The sequence below is a fragment of the Homo sapiens genome, chromosome 8 (genome assembly GCF_000001405.40).
Source record: "Homo sapiens chromosome 8, GRCh38.p14 Primary Assembly".
In the NCBI taxonomy this organism is placed as follows: domain Eukaryota; kingdom Metazoa; phylum Chordata; class Mammalia; order Primates; family Hominidae; genus Homo; species Homo sapiens.
The window spans coordinates 86526312-86550849 of record NC_000008.11 but is presented as its reverse complement, the minus strand read 5'-3'; the positions used below and the strand labels follow the sequence as shown (position 1 = coordinate 86550849).

Genomic DNA, 24538 nt, shown 5'->3' with positions numbered 1-24538 from the left:
AAGAAAAATGTTTCTTTCTATAGATTTTGTAGAAATGGAGTTTACATGCATGTTTTATAACCTACTCTGTTCTACTTAAATCTTGTGTATCATTTCAGTGATCAAATGAGTAAATAAATACATGAAGCCCTGAAAATCACAATTCTTTTTTTACTAATTGATGGCAAACTCATTTGGTAGCAAAACCTGACCTCAGATGATCAGAGGTTATTGGTAGCTTTTATTTATGCCACTTAATACAAACATTCATACATTAGGGAGAGGGACAGTGGACCGAATATATAACATCACATGAATAGCCACTGAGTATCCCACAAAATGGATATCCTCCCCCAGATGTCTGATAGCCAATGTTCCGCCATTATAAAACACCATAATGAACATAATTTTTCTACGAGGAATATTCCTTTCATATTTATTCTTAACAGTTAGTTTTGCACTGAAGATAGAGCCTATGCCATGTCAGAAATATTTCCCCCAGGCTGAGGTGGGAGGATTGCTTGGGTCCAGGAAGTGGAGGCTGCAGTGAACTGTGACTGCACCACTGTACTCCAGCCTGGGTGACAGAGCGAGACCCTTTCTCAAAAGAAAGAAAGACACATTTTTCCCCAGTTTGTAGTCTGTCTTCAACTTTGTTTAAAGCATCTTTCTTTTCATAGTTTTTAATATTAATGAATATGAACACAAAAAAGCTGCATGATTTTTGCCTTTGCTCTCTTGCTTAAAGGTTTTCCTCACTACAAGATTATAAACAATTCACATACACTTTCTTCTAAAACTTTAAAGTTTGCTTTTGACATTAAACTTCTAACTCATCTGGAAAGTGTTTTGAAGTAGGATATGAAGCAGGAATTGCTGCTCTCCGGCAATATCCATTCTCTCCTTTAATAATAGAACACCTGAGCTAGAGACTGCTCTTCCTAGCTTCTCTGGCCTGGATGTGATCAGATGGCTGGGATCTAGAGATGGAGATGTGAGTAGAAGTGATTTGCCAGCCACTTCTGAATCATGCCCCTAAAAGGGAATGCACATTCACTCCCTGGTCCCTTTCTTCTCTTCCCCCTGGCTGGAGAAGATGAGAACCAGAGCTATGGAACCCCGGAGGGAAGCTGTGAATTGAGAACAGCAGAACTCCCCTATCAGTTCTTAACTATTATATTTACCCCTAGCAATGTGAAGTGAAATAAACCTCTATTTTGTCAAAGCCACTTTGTTTTTGGGTGTCTATTTCAGCAGTCTGGTCTGTACTCTAATTTATACAGAATAATATCCTAAAACATGCAAGTATGAGTCAGGGATCCAAATTCAATTCTTGTCCAGTTTGACAGCTTTTACAACCCCCTCCCCTAAATTCACTTATATGCATGGGTCTATTTCTGGACTGTTTGCTTGGTTCCACTGGTCATGTCCTAATTCCATACTCTTAAGATAATTGCAATAATACTTTTAATATCTGCTAGTGAGAAATTATTAATTTTTTAATCCTATGTTATATTTGACCACCTTTCTAAGCTCTCACTACTGTCTAATAAAGTAACTTTCTATATATGTTAAATATATTTAATGATTTTTACCTTAAAACTTACTAGCCTGAAATTGGAATTGCCACCTTACTTTAGATTTCTTTGCATTTGCCTAAAAATTTCACCTCTTTAAATGCTACAGATTAATGAAAAGCCCCATCAATATGTAAATAAAATAATAATAGACAAAAGCAAGTGAAATTTTATTCTGTACTCTTAACGCTACATCAGGAAAAACACTACTAATGCAGATGTTTTCCCTATTGTTTAGTAAACCCTCAATAGGACCTATTTAAATCTTTTCAAAACCTAACCATTGATAACCATTCAGAATATTTCATAGCAATTAGATCTAGTTATCCTTCAGCACTTGTTAAAAGTCACCGTTAAAAAAATAATTTGGCAACTGCCAAGGACATAGATATGCTAAGAAATAGTTTTTATTTCTTAACATAAATAGTATTTAGTATTTATAAATAGTATTTAGTATTTAACATAAATAATATTTAGTATTTATAAACAGTATTTATAAAACATGTCATCTGGGCTTCAATCACTCATACAACTTATGCCTAATGAATAAGCCCCAAGGAAACCAGACTAAAGAAACAAGAGCCTTGCTGACATTCAGTCAGGAAGTAAGTAGCAAACTATATGTAATATAAAGCAAAGTACATGCCATATATGATAACTAATCACAGAAAGATATTAGAGATCTAAGGTAAACAGCAAGATTGCCACAAGGAGAAAAATAGAAGATAAGACGGGGGGATTTTAGGGAGAAAGCATCATCAACCTACCACCTATATCAGAGTGCTAGCCGATGAAACAAACTACCCTTTCTGGGGAATTGTGAAAACATGTATTTTAGTTTTTCCAAAGTCATACTCACGCATCATAATCTTGAATGACCAGTCCCACAGACCAGAGAGCAGTCAAATACTCATTAACGCCATTGGGGCTGATGTAATGAAGGGAGTCTGGAGACCTTGGGTCACCATTGGAGCCAGTGAAGTCCACTCCCACCTGCCAAATAACAATTGCAGCCCTTAGTAAGGAGAAGGCAGGGACACCTGTGCTTGATGTCCAGGAAAACTTCAAGAGATGGGATACAATCATGCATCCTGGCGCCTACTTCCTAACAAATGCCTACCACTATTTCCATAGACAATTAAACAAGTAAAGCCTAAATGTGAAACAACCTGATGCTTCTACTTTTCTAGATGGCTTAAATAATGAATTATTGTATCCATTACTTAAGCTTAAGGGTTGTCTTTTATAAGGTTGTCTCACTAATGCTTTCTAGTCCTTAAATTAGTTCAGGATAACCACTAGTTTGTAGGTTTGTATACATCTGCTTTCTCTCAGGAGGAAGAGATCTCATCAACAAAACTGAGAGCTTCATGATGAGCCCAGACAACCTGCCTGAGGACTCTAAGAGGACTATGCTAAACAGATTGTGAAAATTTCATTACAAAGTCAGTTTTGCAGTGAAAGAAAATATACTGCAACATGGAGGAAAAAGCCTATGCTGAAAAATTCAGTGTGTTACTTACAGTAAAATTCAGCTGACATCCTCCCATTATATAGTCAAGGAATGTGCATTCTACTGTAATCTAAAAATAAGAGAAAACTTAAAATTACAACTCTCCTACTATACAAGAGAAGCAAAAAACTCTTTGGCATATATTTTTAAAAGTCTGTAAATTGAACAGGACATGATATAAACATGGAAATTACCCCTGCATTCAGGTTTAAGATACCCCTTCCCCTATGTGCCATGAATCTGTAAAATTCTGCTTCAAGATAATTGTAGCAATGTTAAGATTAGAATACTAATGGCGAAAGATGAAATACACTCATTTTAAGTTTTAAGATATTAGTAATGAATCCAATATGTTGAGGGCTTTAAAAAGCATAGCAGTCAACATTTTAAAAAACAAAAACTCCATTCCACTTGTTCACCCTAAAAAATCTTGGCTTTTCCCCTTTACTCATAACATTTTATATTGAAAGTATGAAGAGGATAAATGCATTGGGTAAGGTCATTTCCACTAAAGAGCTGAGAAAATACTATGATGCTTTATATTTCCTAAGATAACGAAAAACTTATCCTTGTCCTTTGCAAATAAGTTGTCAAACCTTGGAAACAGGTTACTTGATTTTTTTGTTCTTCCCTACTTGATTCTTTTTGCTAAAGGTGACCAGATGCTCATGTGATTTTCAACTGCCTGAAATTCAAGTATTTGTTTAATATAAACATACTAACAGGAGAACTTGAAATATAATCTCATTATATTATAAGTAGCCAAGGCTTGGGTCGGATGCGGTGGCTCACACCTGTAATCCCAGCACTTTGGGAGGCCAAGGTGGGTGGATCACAAGGTCAGGAGTTCAAGACCAGCCTGGCCAACATGGTGAAACCCTGTCTCCACTAAAAATACAAAAATTAGCCAGGTGTAGTGGTGGGTGCCTGTAATCCCAGCTACCTGGGAGGCTGAGGCAGAGAATTGCTTGAACCCAGGAGGCAGAGGTTGCAGTGAGCCGAGATCACACCACTGCGCTCCAGCCTGGGCAACAGAGCGAGGCTCCAGCTCAAAAAGAATAAATAAATAAATAAAAATAAGTAGCCAAGGCCAACGGACCTCACACTGTTTCACACTGATAACACCTGAATTCTTGTAGCTTTTTTTCTTTTGCCTTTTTTTCTCATTTATGCATTCAAATTCAACCTGTAGGAAGAGAAGACAAAAATGTTACTTTTTATTAGCAATATTAGAAATGCCAATGTGACTTTAAATGAATGACTTTTTTTCCTTTAGAATCAAACTACCTACTGATGTAGGTCTGTTGCAAAATATAACTCTGAAACAATTACATAATATGTTAAGTATGTGGAATATTTATCAGGTAAATTTCCAACAATTAAGGCACTCCTAAAATTGCATACCTTTCAAAATATTTCTCCCAAATAAATTTTACCTCTGCAGGTAATTTCCTTGCAAATGTTCCAAGGCATAATCTTTTTTCTCTTTGCTGCATATTTTACCATAGAGTTGGGCCCTATGATATAACATGGTATAATAAAGGAAATAAAATATTACTCCTAGCTGTTACCAACATAAAGAACGAAAATATGCTGCAAAGAAAAGAAAAAAAAATAACATCATAAAACAAATATATGAAGCCCAACTCTATGGTAAAATATGCATCAAAGATCTTCTCTTTCCACTGGGAATACATGTTAAAAATTGATCTAACACCTCCTCTTGTTTATATTTCCTTCCCCCAAAAGAATGATCTTCCTTCCCCTTCCTATCCCCCTATCCATCTTTAGGGCTTGGCTCAAGTTGTTCTCCTCTGTAACTTCCACTGCTACTCTAGTCTTCTCTGATCTCTATCTACCTCTTTAAATTTCTACAACTATATGAAATTTAGTTACATACTCTGTGTTATTTTCAAGTGTCTCATTTAATTTTTTCTTCACAGTGACATTATAATCACCTCCAACTTATACCTTCAAATTCTCACTGTCTTGCCTAATAATAATATAAGAGATATTCAATAAATGCTTGATAAGTCACCTCTTCTGGTTAACACAAAGCCACTTATGTACTTCAGACAGTCATTACTAGTTTTCCAAGAATCAAACACTAAAAAATACACGTGGTATAATACAATGATGTGAAACAAAATTATGTTAAACAAATTCTTTGATGGTTCAGGATCTTGCTGGAGTCTCAGTCACAATCATAAGTATTAATTGTTGAGTATTAGAAATTAAAGAAAGGAAAAACAATAAAAAATTATTATATATTAGAGCTAAAGAAATTCCACAAACCGAATTCTCATTGAAAAAGGGCTAGATTACTTCACTTATTCATTTATACCTTCAGGCTCCATAAGTGCTCTTTGGTCCTGCTGAAGCCTGTGCTTAATGACTCTCAGGTCTGCCCCCAGCTTTCAGTATTTCATAGTCTTGAGAGGGGCAGGGTCATTCTTCTACAGCACTAGATAAGCACACTGGGGCCAACTGCCCTGCATTGGTTGCTGGATGGAACTGCTGGCCACGGAAACCAATGCCTACTTTTAAAGCTGATATTGCTCTGCCTCTTCTCTCTGTAAGTAAAGTGTGGTTCCCTCTAGTGCTTGCCTGCATTGTGTTTGCCTTGACTTCAATACGATGATACAATAGGCAAAAGGATTGGACTTCTATTCCTAATGACTGACACTGTGATCATCTTTGCTGTCCTCCATGTAGTTGGAGTCCTCATCTGGCATTAGTAACTGTTACGTGGTGTTCTGCTCAATAAAATTCATGCCCCAAGTATGAATTGTGGATTATGTGATTACTAAACATTTCGGAGCATTATGCAATATAGACTAAAAGCATAGTAAACCGTTTGATGCTATGGGAAAAAAATGAAATACAGTAATAAATACATAGCCAAACTATAAAGTATATGCAAATGCAAGGATGTAACTTACAGGTGAGCTTCTGGAGGCTTCTTTCAGTTTTGTCATGGTGGTCTGAAATGTTCCAATGAGATCATGTGACCCATCATTGTCATAATCATAACACTCCACCTGAAATTAAATATAATAAAAATATATAAAAATCAATATAGTTTTATTAAAAAGTATTGGCTGCAATAAATATAACCTATCATGAAGTGCCCTTTTAATTAAAGTAAATGAAAATGTGTACTATGCAGTCCCTACTTGGGACAGTAGGAATTAACATCCTAGAGAAGCAATATTGAAACACTTTCAAACCCCAGCTATCCTTGGGATGGGGATCTAAGATAGATCACAGGCAGATGAAAAACACAAATACTGTTTCAATTCCACATTAAGCAGTTTCCAGCTCCTCTATCATGCCTTCTATAAGTGCTGATAAAGGGCAAAATGGAGTTATATCTTCTTTCTCATCCACTTCTTTGCCTTATTACTATGCAATGGCTAAAAGCCATTATATGGAGAAAGAAAGGAAGTCAACATTCTAGAAAGCTAAAATTTATATAATTAAATCCTAGATACTTTAGAATTATGAAAAATATATTTCATTAGCTGCAATCTGGTGAGGTTGGCTTGTATTATAAGTTAGATATGATGAAGCCAGATTTGCATCATTGTGAAGATCACAACTCTTACAATGAAAGGAACAATTCCAGGCTAAGAGTACTTAGTCCACTGAGGAAGTATCCACACCGGGTCATATTTACTCTATTTCCATGTGAGACAGGGTGAGTTCTAGTCTTAGATCTGGCTCTGATTAAATGCTTTCTCTCTCTGAAAGGAGAGAGAAGAGAGGTGAGAGTATTTGAGATGCATGTAATTTCGTGACAGGTTGACAGACAGTCAAAGAGTAAATATTCACCAGAATACTAGAATATTCTTTGCAATGGGAAAAATTAGGTGGCATGAACTATTGCCAAGCAGAAGTGTTCAAGGGAAGCTGAAAATTGACTGTGATTGTGAACATTTAACACCAATGTTTTTATAGTATTTTATCTCAAAACAGATTATTTCACTTCTGCAAACATTTATTATGTACACTGTGCACATTCTCTAAATAGTCTTGTGAGGTAGACAGAGTTGGAATCCTGTTACTATGATGCCCATTTTGCAGAACTAAGACTTACAGGAATTAAATAAAAAGTCTTAGAAGACGGTATGCCTTGTGTGGTAACCAACACAGGTAAAGTAACGCTGTGCTAAGGACACTTTGAAATCCTAGAGCCTGTAATCTAAAATAAAAACTTGTAACTAAGAAGCAATTTGCATTTACCATCAGCCAATAGAGAGCTTTATCTTGCTAATATCCTTCTCAAACTTAGATTAACTGCCAAGCTAAAATACTCAGGATTTTTTATGTTTACTTGGCAAAGTGACTATTTTTCCCCTCAGTTCTATGAAATGAATGCTTATCATAACTGGAAGTCTTTCATTCCCTACTTATGTTTTCATTATTCTTCAGGAAGACTACAAATCAATCAATCAAAACAGTCAAGACCGAGAATTTCAATTTTGAGTAACAGAAAGGGATTTTATTTTTTTAAGAAAATGCTTTGCAGGCATTTTGGCCACTGACCAAGTCTGACAGTTTGACTCTTGCCCTACTCAGTATCCAATTTTTAAACCAAAAACCTTTTATATGACTCTTTAATGTGCCAAGGGAAAAGAAATTTAATAATTTCCATAATTTTTAGAGGAAGTAATATTTAGATAAGGTAGAAAACAAACTATCTTAATATTTTAATAAGTTCATGGTTTTTAAACAGACATTTTTCAATTATGGAAAACAGAACTTTACATTTTAGATTTGCAATCAGGGAACACCAATTTATATCTAAGACAAGATTAAGCTTTGACAAGGCCAAGATTTTATTTGAGTAAAGATTATGAAGGGCTAAAACGGTTCATATCTTTAGACTATTCATACGTTAAAATTTCAGGAAATGTAAATAATATTTTTAAACTAAAAATTTTGATTACTCACTATAATAAATATATAGAAAAAGCTCCCTCTTGTCCCCTTGAAGGCAGACATGATATTTATAATGCTGGCATATGTTCAGATACGGTATGAGGTAAGACAATTCGTGTCATTTAATTTCTCTCTTTTCAAGAATTCAAAGACCAGTATTATTGGCTTTTTAAACAATGGTAAGCATAACAATATATGCATATATACATATGCATATGTATATGCAAGTATATAATATATACATGTATTCATATACATTTAATGGATATATAATATACATATACACATGCATATATAGTATACATAATAAACATATGTGTAATAAATAAATAAATGTATACATATATACACATGGGCATATGTATATATGAAAGAGAATGCACACACCACACAGATACTACATTCAGTAAGGCACTCCCATTTTAGGCAAAGTGGCAGCATGCATGATTATTTTTCGTATTCACTTGATCTTAATGAAAATAATACATGCTAGAATGATAACACAACATGGCAAAGAAACTACTGAGGATTCTGACTCTATTCACTGCTCTATAACTCTTTACTATCCCTATAAGCAATTTTCGAACAGTAAGAGAATCACAAATGTATGACTTTTTGATATTGCAAAGAAATGCAGAACTAAATGAAATAAAGTCAGTGATGACGTAGCAAACCAAGTTGTGTATAGTTAAAAACAAACCAAGAAAGTTTTAAGAATGGAAGACATTCATTAGAGAAAGCTCAGAAAATCAGTTTACTTACTATAATAAAATAGCCCTGTAAGCATGCCACTGTGAGCAAAAAAGTTTAAAAGATATTGTTTTGTTGTTAACATATCATTACACACAATCAAATAGTTATGGCTTAGACATTTTCCCCTAGATTTACCTGCCTTCTGACATCTAATGATGTTTACTATTTTTAATATGAAAAGCAAAAGTCTGGATTTGGCAAAATGATAAAAAATAATTTTTATAGCTAATTTTCAACTATTTATTTCGGACCTGGATTTTCACTACTGTTTCAAATACCTTACAAATCATACTTAGATTGATTTTTAAAGTTCTTTACAAACTGGAAGCAATTTTTTATGGATCTCAGTAATGAAGCAGTTTTTTTTTTTTTTTTTTTAAGACACGGTCTCACTCCATCACCCAGGCTGGAGTGCAGTGTGAAGCAATATTGGCTTACTGAGACCTCCTCCTCCCAGGATCAAAGGATCCTCCCACCTAAGCCTCCCAAGTAGCTGGGAACACAGGTATGCGCCACCACACCCAGCTCATTTTTGTATTTTCTGTAGAGACAGTATTTTGCCATGTTGCCCAGGCTGGTCTCAAACTCCTGAGCTCAGGCAATTTGCCCGCCTCGGCCTCCCAAAGTGCTGGGATTATAGGCCTGAGCCACCATGCCCGGCAAAAATGAAGCAGTTTTTCAGTAACAATGGCACCTCTACAAAATTTTTACAAAACTTTCACTTCTGCTAATTTAATTTTTGCTTTTCTGGAAGGTAGAAATTCTTAACTCTATTATAAAAGTGAAGAATCCAGGTGAAGCTTCCTACTAATAAGCAAAATAAATAAATAAGTAAATGTGAAGAAGTGTGGTTACCTGCCCAAGATCCCTTAGCCAGTTAAAGGACTAAGTCAAAACTTGAACTGTGGTCTGACTCCAAATCTTATACTTACTCCTCATTATCCTGCCTGCTTTTACCATATTTATTATCAGAAAAAGAGAAAAACAAACCAAAAAATCCCTTTGATCGACTGAAGTCTGAACATAAAAAAGACCTCTATCTGTAATCATGTAAAGTTAATAATTCTAGTACAAAAGTTTCTTTTATGTATATGTATGTATATATTTTTCATTCTCAACACCACTCCATGAGTTTTCTTTTATTTATATTTTTACTCTTTTTTTAAATAAATGCCTATGAATAAAAACATTTAAAAAAATACTGACATCTGCTATTTGCTGTTCATACTCCACTTCCCTGATACTCTAAAACTAAAGCCTTCTAAAAGCTTTCAATTAATTACTTATCTCATTCTGAAAATAAGGAAGAAAAATGCCATCAATACTGCCCTCCCTTGCTAAGGGCAGAAGCAAGCTCTGAGTTCTTACGGTAACATCTGCTTCTATCTGCAACAGACATACCAAAGGCAAATAATGTAGTTCGAGGTTCCTATTAGCAGAGCAGAGGAATCTTATTAAAAGGAAAAAAATATTAAACTGGACATTTTATTTTTTAAAATACAGAATAAAATAGAAACGACACTGTTTGACTAAGCATTAGGTCAACAGATTAGTCAAACATGCCTACTCCTCAAACTGTGTCACTTACCAGAAGACATTTCTATTTTAGTATTCTACACACATAAAATTTAACTCTGTAGGTGTCTTACATCATTTACTTTCTTTAAATACTATCTTATGTATTAATTTTATAAAATAGGTGAACATGGGTATATTTAAGTATTTTATATATATATAATTTCAACTTACCTTAATGGTTTTGTCCATATCTCCGTAACACAGTGAGTTAAGAGAGATCTTGAAAGGCCTCCAAACAGGATTCAAGTTGTTTTTAACAACCTATAAAAATGTGGTTTCAAAAAGCTGTTAGAAAAACTTCCAGTTCATTAACATTTTGCTCCTGCCCTTCCTAGGTTCTTGCTATACTCTCACCATTCGTCCTCCACCTCTTCATCAACTCAACTATTTCCACAAAAAAACTACCTAGAACAATATTATACAACTGCTACATGAAAAATGTAATAAATTGTCCAGTTGTGATACATTCTGAGGAAAAGTAGAAAACTATTTGGAAAATATATCTACCTATTACAAGGAGCACTTAGGAACTACAGAGGATGGCTGGGCGCGGTGGCTCACACCTGTAATCCCCACACTTTGGGAGGCCGAGACGGGCAGATCATCTGAGGTCAGGAGTTTGAGACCAGCCTGGCCAACATGGTGAAAACCTGTCTCTACTAAAAAAATACAAAAATTAGCTGGGTGTGGTGGTGCATGCCTATAATCCTAGCTACTCAGGAGGCTGAGGCAGGAGAACTGCTGGAACCTGGGAGGTGGAGGTTGCCGTGAGTGGAGATCGTGCCACTGCATTCCAGCCTGGGTGACAGAGCAAGACAACGTCTCAAAAAAAAAAAAAAAAAAAACTGCGGAGGATTATTGATTTTAATAGCAATGAGGGTTTCATTGCAGGGCACAGAAGATTCAAATATGAAATAAGAAAAGGTAAATATAGAATAAGAAACTATGTTGGAATTGAATTGGAGAAATAAGTCCACATTTATAATTTAAAATTTTAATACCATATATACATACATAATAAACAGATAAACACAAATATACATATTTCTTAGCTGTGTCCACTTAAAAGGCATAAAACAATGATATCCAGTAGCAATGAGCACATTCAGCACTCAGATGTCAGTGTCTAAATACTACTACCCTCTTGCAGGAATAGGGCTTATTAAGAGACATGGCTCATACCAGCTCTGGGACAGAAAAAGTACAAGGGGAACTGAGAACATACTCTAACTTAAGAGACTGCTCAAAGATGAATGAAGTCAAAAAGAAAAACCAAGAGCCATTTTAGAGACTACGAGCTCTCTCTAGTCAAACATGGATGAATCTGAGCAGCAAAAATACAATAATGAGTTAAATACAAAGCATACACTGTTATAACAATCCATGAATTTATAATGATACTAAAAATAAAAGCAGAGAAAGAGAGAGATGAAAGAGGAATGCCTGCTAATATAACTAAAAAGGATGAAAGATTTTGAAAAATCACTATTTTACTACCCATAATACAATAATTGATTAGGCAAGGATCACCAATGGATGCTAAAACCACTGGTTGAAGTGCTAGAGAACATGTAATTCATGCAGTCTCATAGTTTCACACCACATAGCACTTATTAATTAAAAAGGGGAAAAATGAGACCTTATCATGGTGAGATCTGGCGGTCACCAGCTTAACCAAGTAGCCAAGCATGACATCATCAATGCTGGGCAGCCTGGCACCATGAGCCTCCTGAAAATGTAAAGAAAAGGAACACACATAGTGTTTTTGACAGAAATGTTTGATCTGGATCTAGTTGTGAGGAAACAGAAGAATCCAGAATGTTGGACATTCTGGTCTTGATTTTCAAGAGATTCAATGGCATCAAGGTATAAGGAAGGTAGGGAGAAGAGTCCTCTATTGGGAATATAATAGTCAAATCCAAAATTTGAGCCTTGACTGGATTCTGAACAAAACAAAGCAAAACAAAATACACACAAAACCTGTGGGACAACTGAGGAAATCTGAAGATTAATGGTATACCAAATAATGTTACATTTAGCTATGTCAAATGTTAATTTCTCAAGTATTATTGTATAGAATGTCCCTGTTCTTTAAACTACCTGCTGTAGCATTTATTTATTTATTTATTTTGAGGTGGAGTCTCGCTCAGTAGCCTGGGATGGAGTGCAGTGGTGCGATCTCAGCTCACTGCAACCTCCACCTCCTGGGTTCAAGCAATTCTTGTGCCTCAGTTTCCTGAGTAGCTGGGACTGCAGGCAAGTGCTACCACACCTGGCTAATTTTTGTATTTTTAGTAGAGACGGGGTTTCACCATGTTGGCCAGGCTGGTCTCGAGCTCCTGACCTCAAGTGATCCACCTGCCTTGGCTTCCCAAAGTGCTGGGATTACAGGCATGAGCCACCACACTTGGTCTGCTGTAGCATTTAAAGATAAGAGTTATTATATCTGTAGCTCCATTAGGATGATTTTGCAAAAGGAAAATACATGTGTGCATAAGTGTGTGTGTGTGTGTGTGTGAGAGAGAGAGAGAGAGAGAGACAGAGAGGGACAGAGATAGAGAAAGACAGAGAGCACAAGTATGTGGGAGTGTGTGTTCATTTGGTGAATCTAGGTGAGGGGTGCAGAGGAATACATTTAGTGTTCTTTATAGGACTTAAAATTTTTCAAAATAAAAATCATAAAGTACGGTAGCACCTCCTCATTGAAAGAAAAAAATATGAACATGGTGATCTTGTGTCTCTGGCTATATGTAAGTATGAACTCAGATTGATACTTTTATAAATATAAGCTTTTTAAAATTCAGATTACAATAATTTCAAAGAACACCTCCACTCTGCTTTTCAAATTCAAATATTCACCTCTGTCCGATGAACCATTAGCCAGTTTCCATCAGATGTCTGCTTGTGGAATTCCAGGTATGGGTCTGACTTTCCAAATAGATCCTACATTTAAAACAAACAACAAAAAGCATTTGTTCTCCTCTGAACCCATGAAACCATGTGTGACCATACTTTACACATGTTGGCAACCACCTGAAGTCTAACTCTATAGTATTGATAGTAAATATACATCCCATCACCTTTCTCCCTAACTTAGAAACTTACGGAAGTCTACTAGGGAGAATTATCAAAGTGCTTGTGATAAATGCTCATAATCCTGTATATCATACCCTGACTTCTCAAAAACATGACAGTTTTAAAATACAGTGGTCAAATATACCATAAAATATGTTTTTGCCTTGTTTTCACCTTTAACCATTTTCATTCACATATCACTGAGTAGTTTTATATAAATGATATCACAAACATTAGCCATACCAACTCTATGGAGACAGGGCAGTTATCAGTGAGAAAATGGATTCAGAGGGGTAAATGATTTTCCCAAGATCACATATCTAATTAATTAATGGATCCAGGCTTTAACTTCATATCTCAGCCTTCTATGTCCAAAACTCCTTCATCAAAACCACACATTTCTTTACATACACAAATGACCAGAGGTAGATATGTGGAACACATAATAGAAACACTTCAAGGGCACAAACTACATCTTCTATTTCTCCTGTAATTCACCACAGAACTCCTATACAATGCTCAAGCACACTAAATGCTCAAAAATACCGTTATCACCATCCTCAATACACACATAACCACACACATACAGAGAGATAAAATTCAGGAAAAATGTACGAATCACTCACAGAGGTTAAACTCAGGTGGTAAGACTATGGATGATTTTTTCTCATTTTCATGTATCTTCATTTTGAAATGTGCATACTCGTTAACATTTATGACTTGTTATTTTTGAAAATGAAAGGACATTTGTTAATCCCACAGGAATATATGCAGATACATCCCTGAGCTGAAGATTTCTTTAGTCCTGAATTAACTTCAGTATTAAATTAAGAACTAAAATAAAATTATTTCTCTCTTGAACACAAAGTTTAATGTCAAGCAAATAAGATATTTGGTACAGTCAAAAATATAAACACAAAGACTGTGTTTAACCTTATCTCTAAGAAGAATCTTAAGTGAATGAAATAAAAGCAGAATATCCTTGTTATTATTTTGAAGGCTAAAAACCAATACTTGTTTGAAGGTTAAGTTGCTAGTATTAGAACTAAAACAATAATTAAACTCCCTGGCTCTGATCTCCAGGATATGTTAAGTAAAAGAAGCAAAGTGGAGGAAAGTGTACATCTAGTATGCTATGTTTATGCAAGGGCTGGGGGTGGGGAACATAAATACAAATACATACATACACACATACATATGAACACATACACACACATGAGTATACATACACACAGAAAAACCCTTAGATATTTAGGAAACAGAATGATTAAATTATAAAACACAACTTTTTAAAAATTATTATCTACATGGAGGAAAGCGGAAGCAAGGTAGACCAGGAGAGATGTTAAATTTCTTAAGTACCTTGTTTTGTAGATTTTAGAGCCATGTAAATTTTTTACGTGATTATAAAACAAAATTAAATCAAAATGGTTTTTTAAAAAAGCAATCCCTAAATATCAAAAGCAAAATGAAAGTAGGTCTGTGACAGCATAACCACACAAAGGAATTATTTCTTTAAATCATAAGAATGTGACTATGTAACAAAAGTGGAATATACACACCTTAAAGACAAAAAGAACTTCAAAGAAAGCTCAAACTTTTCAGTAAAAATACTGTTAATAATATTGATATTTTTATTCTAAAACTATTAACGTTGTGTGAGACAAAACAGATAAGCAATTGTGTTAATATATTTAAAAACCAAGAGAAATGAGGTATGAATATAAAATAAGTGCCTGTAATTCTATATTTTTTTTAATTATCTCTGTTGTTTTGGAGACGTCACCCAGGCTGGAGTGTAGTGGTACGATCCCGGCTCACTGTAACCTCCCCCTCCTGGGTTCAAGCAATTCTCATGCCTCATCCTCTTGAGTAGTTGGGACTACAGGTGCATGCTACCATGACCGGCTAATTTTTGTATTTTTACTAGACACAGGGTTTCACCATGTTGGCCAGGCTGGTCTTGAACTCCTGACCTCAAGTGTTCCACCCACCTCCCAGAGTGCTGGGATTACAGGCGTGAGCCATCATGGCCGGCCAGTAATTCTATATTTGAATTGGAAATAGTTGTGTAATTTCATGATTTAGTTTTTCTTAAAAAAAAAAAAAAGTCTTTTCTGTATCTGTCCACTGAAAAGCCCTAGAAACCATGAATGACAATAACCCACAACAGTGAGTACCCCTAGCAGTGGACTGTGGTCTCTAAATACCAATTCCACCAAAATAAAGTAAGGTTCCTTTTAATCTGCCAGTCTAAGGCAGAAACTAGATAAAATAAGCTTGGGACATGGCTTATTAAAGACAAAAAGAACTTCAAAAAGAAGTTCTTTGAAGCTCTTGTCATCCCACAGAGCAAGAAATTATCCAAAGACTCCTGGAGTTGTGTTAAATGGTCTCACAAACAAGCTTAAAGGAATTCCCTCAGGCCAAAATTGGAATAACTTAAGTATCTATGAGAAGTAATCCATTACAGTTATAAATATTTAAATCTCTTACTTTACAGCAATTCTAAAACAGAACAAAACACACAAACATAAAAACTTCACTGGTCACATTTAGTGGATGCTAGGGAACCAACTTATAATTTTGAAAAATGGTAAATATGGGGGAAAAGTCAAACATTTTAACTTACTTTTCCTATATAAACTATACCACAAAGTAAATAAATACTTAATGTGGGGAAGTTTCTCTCTATAGAAAGATTCTTGCTAAGAAACAAAAGCAATGATAGAGTGACGATATCACTATTTTACAAATTTTTTTTCCTTCTTTTTTTGAGACGGAGCCTTGCTCTCTCGCCAAGCTGGAATGCAGTGGCATGATCTCGGCTCACTGCAACCTCCGCCTCCCAGGTTCAAGTGATTCTCCTGCCTCAGCCTCCCAAGTAGCTGGGACTACTGGCACGCACCACCACGCCCAGCTAATTTTTCTATTTTTAGTAGAGATGGTGTTTCACCATGTTGGCCAGGCTGATCTCAAACTCCTGACCTCAGGTAAGCCACCTACCTCGGCCTCCCAAAGTGCTGGGATTACAGGCATGAGCCACCACACCGGGCCTACAGACTCTTAATAATAAAACCAGGTAGTTATCATCAATGATCACAAACTTCCCGAAAACACACAAGTCAGTGTGAGCCTCCTGATGGAATTACATGCCACCATTGATGAAACTGTCTTGCCAACAATTAAAAATGCCAGCAGATCATACTTCTAGATTCAATTGCCAGGTTACAGAAATCAGAAAATAAAAGTAGAGAGAGAAACATGTTAAATGACACCACAGGATTTAATTAGCCATATGCAGAATATGGAAAATTCTTTTTTGAAAAAAAAAAAAGATGGAGTCTTGTAATTATAATGCACTACAGCCTTGAACTCCTGGGATCAAGCCATCTTCCTGCCTCAGTCTCCTGAGTAGCTGGGACTACAGGTGTGCATCACCTGTGCCCAACTTGAACGTGGAAACTTGTGTAGGATAAAGAAATCAGTTTTCTCCATTGAATAAATTCCACAATGGATGGAAGAATAGATACAAAGGAAGGAAGGGAGGGAGGAAAAGAAGAAAGAAATAAAAGAAAGGAAGAAATTTACAGATTTAAAAGGACGTAAGACACACTTTAAACAATTATATTTTTTAAAGTGTCTTCAGAGATACATCAACATATTGATGGATGAAATGATATGAAGTCTGGGAGGAGAGAAAGTAGATAAGGGTAGAGATTAAATGAAATTGGCCATGAGTTATAATTGTGGAAAATGGGTGATGAGAACATGAAATTTTTTAAAAAGAGTCTTCTAGTTTTGTATATATTTAAATTTTTCCACAATTAAAAAAAAAAAGTCCCCAGCCTATAGTCTAAAATGTTTTCTTTAAGTGTTTTTTTGTTGTTGTTTTTGTTTTTACTTGAGACAGAGTCTTGTTCCATTACACAGGTGAGAATGCATGATCACTGCTCACTGTAGTTTTGACCTCCTGGGCTCAAGCAATCCTCCCACCTCACATGGGATTACAGGCACATGCCACCACACCCAGCTAATTTTTGTATTTTTTGTAGAGATGGGGTTTCGCCATGTTGCCCAGGCTGGTCTCAAACTTCTGAGCTCAAGTGATCTCCCCACCTCGGCCTCCCAAAGTGCTGGGATTACAGGCATGAGCCACCATGCCTAGCCCTAAAATGTTTTCAAACTGAATTGCAAACAATGAAGAATATTGACTAGATTATAGAATTAAGTACAAAAAGCTGGGCTCAGGGGCTCACACCTGCAATCCCAACACTTTGGGAGTATGAGATGGGAGGATTGCTTGAGCCCAGGAGTTCCAGACCAGCCTAGGCAACATAGTGAGACTCTGTCTCTAAAAAAGATAGATAGATAGATAGATAGATAGATAGATAGATAGATAGATAAGATAGATAAAAGAATTATTATAATCCATGCTATATACTAAATTGTTGTGTTATTATGTATTGGCACTCATCCTTCATAAAAAAAAATTGACCTTTGAATGCAAAGAGGATAATTGACCTATAATTAATAAAGCACAGAGTTTTCACTTTTTTCCTAAAGATAATTCAACTGTATTCTTTCATGCCTTTTACAGTAACATTAATGCTTCTATTCAACTCCTCTCTTAACCTAAACAAATCCTTTGATTACATCTAGATGAAAGAGGTGAAGAGAAATGGGTTCTGCTTAAACATACAACACACACACACACATGCAAAATTTGAAAGTAACTAGTACCCTATGTGATGCTCAATGATGGAGTTCATGATATTAACTGCATTTTTATTTTCTTAAAAAAGAGGCAAAACATGACAACCTTTTTGAAATCTGCATAGTCTACCCACCTTATTATCCAGTTTTCTGGCTTCCATTTCAAACAAGACCACTCTATTATCTTTTATTTCTTCAGCTGAAATCTATGAGTAGATCAGGTAAGTGAAAGAAAATATGTTTTAGGAATTCTGATAGACACTTAAGCACTGATTTATTCTGTTATCTAATATAAAGCCTACACTAATATAAATGAATTCTAAAATGTTTCATAAGAAAATGGCATCATTAAAAAAGATCTACCATTATTTCTTTTATGTGTGTGAAATAAAGATTTTCCCAAAATATGCCCAGGTCTGCATTAAGCAATGTCTTTTGAAATGTGGTTGCCCAAATTGGATCTTCCCTATTCAAGAGAAATGTCAAAACCCCAGAAGACTGAGAATACCCTCTACACAATACTGAAGTTCCCTAAACACTGAGAAGCATGAATAAATCATACCTAGAATACTCTATACATTGATATTATCAGATCAATGTTTTTCATCCAGTGTAACTGAAAAACTCATTCTTCTTAAAAATAAGTATCAGTCTATCATGCCCTACAACAAGGAAGCTAACTACTGATAATGTTCTCTTTCCCACAAAAATCAACACCCTGAACATTCTTATGCCTTTGGAGATTTAAACTACAGCAAAACAGCTGCTCAGAGAAATGTATTTGATAATCATGATAACCTTGAAACATAGCTCTCTCAGGGAACTAGCCTTACATTCTCAGAGGGAGCTAAAGTTAAAATACTATCACTCCAGGCAGCAGTTATCTGTACAGACACTCTAGAAGATAAGGTTTACAGGCTTGGCATTATATAATGGGAAATGTGAAATACAATAAAGCATATATTCATTTGCTTAAAGCCAGTAATCAGCAATGAAAAGCCCAGGTGGAAGGATGGGCAGCAGATAGCAAGCACAAAAAATGATGGTAAAGAGTTTATAGGTTCATTGACCATGTCATAATATAACATCCTTCTGGAATAAAATCCACTAGGGAAAATTTCTGTCATGTTGAGAGGACTATGTTCCTCCAGTAGAGAACCAAACTGATACAGATTATTAAGCAGTTTCTCTCTCACGTAAGAATAGACACTTCCACAGAGAAGGGGCAGGTATCGCTAAAGGTGCACTTGACCTCTACGGGCAACTTAGAAAAACTGAAAGAAGGGATTACTACACTGCATGTTTCCCCTGGTTTGCACAATACATTTTCCATTTGTGATAACTACAAGACATGGGTGGATGGAATGCAACATTCAAGATTGAGTGACAAAGCATGGCTGTAGAATATTTCTCTGATATGGACAGTTTCGGCATGTCCTGTTATGCTAAATCTTTTGAGACAAAAGACAAATATCTTATTTTTACCGTAATGCTCCCTTTTCCTGCAGGTCTGCCAGTTTTCATCACCAGTGGTCGAGTTAGCTTCTTGCTGGAAACAATCTGTTAGAATTAGAAAGTGATACAGAGTCATTTCCCTTCAACCTAAGAATTTTTAAATGAAATAGTTTCAGCAAAAAAGACTGAGTATAAGGTTCACTTAAAGTCATTAGAAATAGAAACATTCAGTTGGTTTCTTAAAGATTTAGATCATCTACATATTTAGAGCCAGGTGCAGTGGCTCATGCCTGTAATCCCAGCACTTTGGGAGGCTGAGGCGGGCAGATTACCTGAGGTCAGGAGTTTAAGACCAGCCTGGCCAACATGGTGAAACCCCATCTCTACTAAAAATACAAAAATTAGCCAGGCATGGTGGTGGGTGCCTGTAATCCCAGCTACTCGGGATACTGAGGCAGGAGAATCACTTGAATTCAGGAGGCAGAGGTTGCAGTGAGCCAAGATCGCACTGTTGCACTCCAGCCTGGGCAACAAGAGTGAGAGTCCATCTCAAAAAAAAAAAAAAAAAATCTAAATATTTAAAACTCATTGGAAAAAACTTCTAAGGAGCCTACCCTGGCAGATACAATCTACCTACCCACTAGTTTCTTAACTTCCTATGTATGTGAAAGTTTAAATTGTTCCTTGTAATGGAAAAAGAGGACTGGATTCTCATCGCATAAACAAATCACTTAGCTGAAACCTTCTAGGTAAAAGATGGGCTTCAGAACACTCAATAAATAAGATTCAAGGCCAGGTGCAGTGGCTCACACCAATAATCCCAGCACTTTGGGAAGCTGAGGTGGGAGGATTGCTTGAGCCCACAAGTTCAAGACCAGCCTTGGCAACATGCCAAAACCTGTCTCTACAAAATAATACAAAAATTAGCCAGGTGCAGTGGCGTGTGCTTATAGTCCTAGCTACTTGGGAGGCTGAGGTGGGAGGATCACTTGAACCCGGGAGGTCAAGGCTGTAGTGAGCTGTGATTGAGCCACGACACTCCAGCCTGGGTGACTTAGTGAGACCCTGTCTCAAAAAAAAAAAAAAAAAGGATTCAATTTTTCTACTGAGACACAACTTCAATATTTAACTCCCCAAAAATGTCATATTGCTTTAAGGAATATAGTATACTTAGGTTCTTTCAAACAGATATACATCTGATGTATCTGTTTGAAAGATATATCAAATTCATAGGAATTTTAGCTACACTGGGATTTTTTTCCCCAAAAAAAGAAATACTTCCTCAATTTTTTCTTTGATATTATTTATCAAAGTTTCAGAAAACTGATCAGTTTCATATTGCTTTTGAGATACAGAAAATACCATAATCTCCAAACAATTCAACCTTGAAAAATAAACTTGTAAAAGACATATGTGAGTGACAAATGTCACATATTGAAAAAAAAATTACTCCTCCCTCCTAAAACTTTCTTCAGTCTATGCAAATGGTCATAATCTCTCCTTATGAATCAGATTAACCTAGGAGCAAAATGGGGAGCCATGAGACACGTCCCTACCCTGACCAAACTTATCATATACTGGGAAGACAGATAATTAAGCAACTATTAAAAAGTATGGTGAGAAGTACCAGATAGTAAGTACCAAGTGAGCTCAGGAAAGGATTCCAAACTAATCTAGAGGGTCAGAGAAGGTTTATCAGGGGGAATAAGGTTGAGTAAGAGCAAGCCAGGTAAAGGGGATGGTATTGGGGCATTGCGAGTCAGCAGGTGCCAGTCTCACTAGTTAGAAGATCAGAGAAGTTGCTGTTATCTTGAATGCATTTATGGCTTGAACATAACAAAACCGTAGAGAACTCTGCAGCAGCTAAAGCGGAGGTATTACTTAATAAAATGCCTCATGAAGCATCCCTTACTCAAAAGAATTAACAGGCTTTTTCATAAATACATAGTTCCTGCCCATACAAAATATAAGATGAATTCTATAATGTTCAAGCCAATCATATTAATATATAAACTGTCTTTAAAGTGATTACATGTTTTTCAACTTTAAAAATTAAATGCTGCTTACCAAAAACACCACCAAATTCATTGATTAAAATTTAGACAAAATAGAGTACAGTGGCTATTTATACTTACTTGTCCAAGGGTACATTCACATTCCCCTAAGAAGTCATCATCACTCAGCTCAATAGTTTTGTTGTCGATGTCATAAACCCCAAATTTCAATTTCTGAACCACTTCAAAGTAGTAATCAATAATAAATGTCTTGGAAAATTGGGGATTCAAGCAATTCTTAATCCTTTCTGTGCGCTCAACCTACACCCATCCGCAAAAACAAAAAAGTTTCTTCAGATCAAAGGTGCACTTGGATTTTCACATCTTTATATACTAAACATAAACATAGGCATGACAACTAAAGGAAGTTTCTATATGTGTATGAAAAATTCTACAATCAAGGACAAACTTTCACAAAAAACTCCATTAACAGATGAGATAGTGTTGTTATTTTTAACATTAAAAAAACTCTTCACATTGTTAAAAGGGTAATTCAGATTACTTTTTAGGTAAAGTATTTGACATTACCTCATACCACTGTTGACCACTTGTATTCAAAAACAACACACATAAAGGGTCTGACTTTGACCCTATATCTTTATCCAAAAGATTGGCACAGGAAACATTCAGCGCCACCTTTGTGACACACTGGGCAGCCATGTCTTGAGTTCTGAGAAAACCAATAAAAAGAGAAAGCAAGTAAAACAGTGCCTTTAAGAAGCACACTCATTCCTAACAAAAACAGGTGACTTCTTAAGACCAATTGTCACAATAGGCTTATAGAGTGAACTTGCCAGAATCAGACTGTTATATGCACCTCCTCAGGATGTGGGTGTCTATTAGCTCATTCCAATGATACTGCCTGCATCAGATTCTCTTGCTAGGATAAAATTCATTTACTGAATGACAGTAAAATACAGCTTTTAAGATGGCTAATAAGACATACTAATCTTCTTGGCCAGGCTCAGTGACTCATGCCTGTAATCCCAGCACTTTGGGAGGCTGAGGCAGAAGGATGGCTTGAGCTTAGGAATTTGAGACCATCATGGGCAAGACAGCAAGACCTCGTCTCTACTAAAAATAAAAAAAATTAGCCAAGCATGGTGGTGTGTGCCTATAATCCCAGCTACTAGGAAGGCTGAGGCAAGAGGATTGCTTGAACCCAAGAGATTGAGCCTGTAGTGAGCTATAACTGTGCCACTGCACTCCAGCCTGGGCAATAGAGACTCTGTCTAAAAAAAAAAAAAAAAAAAAAAAAATTTCTTTTTACCTTAACTATAAATTTTATCATTCAGAAAAACTCCAAGTATTATCTTGACCCTTCACTTAAAGGTATGCATAGCATTATACTACAAAACAGATTAAGTTTTATTTTTATTTGTTTATTTAACAAGACACTGAGTGGGATATTTTCTGTTTTCAAGATTTTTTGACTAAAACCAAAAGCCCCCAAAGCCCCCTTTCCCTCCACTCTACCCCCAGCTCCCAATATTTTGCAGCAGTGGTTCTCAATATTGGCTGCTTCCTGGAATCATCTGGAGGAGCTTTCAAAGCTACTGATGCAGGAGTTCCACTTAAAGAGATTTTAACTGGTTTAGGGTACAACCCTGACATCAGTTCCTTGGATGATTCTAATGTGTAGACAAGGTTGACAAGCCTACTATTCTACAGAGAGAAGGTGTGGCCCATCTTCCCTTATGACTTGCTAAGAAATATCAGAGTTAGCTTAACTTCCATAGACCCCTCCTTCCCCAGTCTCCAATCAATATATGAAAAGGACTGGGGATGGGATGGAGCATATGATAGGGGCTGGACTTGAGAAGGAATGTAGTATTGCTGGTGAGCTGCCTTCATCCATGAACCCAGGGAATGAAAGGGGCTGCAGGTGTCACCATGAAAAGGAACTAGGCATTGCATTTCCCATCTGGATGTCCACTTAGCCAGTGGAGGTTGATGGTGCTAGGGCAGGTTCTGCAGGAGGGAAGGTACCTACTACCCTAGAGCTGCTGGCAAACATCCTTGCAATGGGATAGTATTTAATGCCCTTTGCCCTCCACTTTGAGATTTAGCTGAAGTTCTAGGACCACAGAAACAAATCCACTCATTATCTTGTTATATTTAAATATGGCAGTAAGATTCCTGTGCTGTATAAAATGCCTAAGCAAATCTGAAGTAACAAAGATTATCATTAGAAGAGCCCTTTGTAATGTCAAAAAACAACTAACATCTTATTTAAAAATTTTGATAATTCTATTGAACTCTCTAAAAACAGTAGCAGTCCTCAACATATGTCAAAAATCAATACTAAGATTCCTAAATAAATAGAGACTAAGAAAAATGAAGTAGGTTGCATAGTCTTAGAAGTAGCTAGAAAACCCGTTTAAAAACAAAGCTGGCCGGGCACGGCAGCTCACACCTGTACTCCCAGCACTTTGGGAGGCCAAGGCAGGTGGATCACTTGAGGTCAGGAGTTCAAGACCGGCCTGGTCAACATGGTGAAACCTCGTCTCTACTAAAATACAAAAACTAGCTGGGTGTGGTGGCATGAGCCTGTGATCCCAGCTACTCTGGAGTCTGAGGTAGGAGGATCGCTTGAGACTGGAAGGCAGAGTTTGCAGTGAGCCAAGATCATGCCACTGCACTCCAACCTGGGTGACAGAGTGAGACCCCATCTCAAAAAAAAAACAAAACAAACAAACAAAAAATATGTATCTTATATATTTATATATGTGCCTAGTATACAGTAAGTGCTCACATTTTATTATCATTTTATCACTATCTGCCTCTAGGGTCTGATCCTATCTTATCTATCCCATGTTTCATATTTTTTTATTATTCCATTCCATGATTATCCTGATTATTCCAATCCATACTAAGGTGTTCCTTTGAATTCC

General features: G+C 36.2%; 1 protein-coding gene across 7 annotated transcripts in view; it reads right to left on the bottom strand.

The window, feature by feature from the left end:
- Positions 1–24538, bottom strand: part of CPNE3 (copine 3) — a 47064-nt gene that overhangs the window by 10649 nt on the left and 11877 nt on the right. For all 7 annotated transcript variants that reach the window (XM_047422393.1, XM_047422394.1, XM_024447322.2 and 4 more), the window contains 10 exons: positions 22173–22314; positions 21726–21905; positions 19621–19695; positions 18270–18341; positions 13204–13287; positions 10516–10605; positions 6012–6110; positions 4169–4255; positions 3080–3139; positions 2416–2549 (listed from right to left, as the gene is read on the bottom strand). In XM_047422393.1, the coding sequence (XP_047278349.1) occupies positions 2416–2549; positions 3080–3139; positions 4169–4255; positions 6012–6110; positions 10516–10605; positions 13204–13287; positions 18270–18341; positions 19621–19695; positions 21726–21905; positions 22173–22304 (1013 nt within the window). In that variant the 5' untranslated portion in view covers positions 22305–22314. The remainder of the gene's footprint in view (positions 1–2415; positions 2550–3079; positions 3140–4168; positions 4256–6011; positions 6111–10515; positions 10606–13203; positions 13288–18269; positions 18342–19620; positions 19696–21725; positions 21906–22172; positions 22315–24538) is intronic.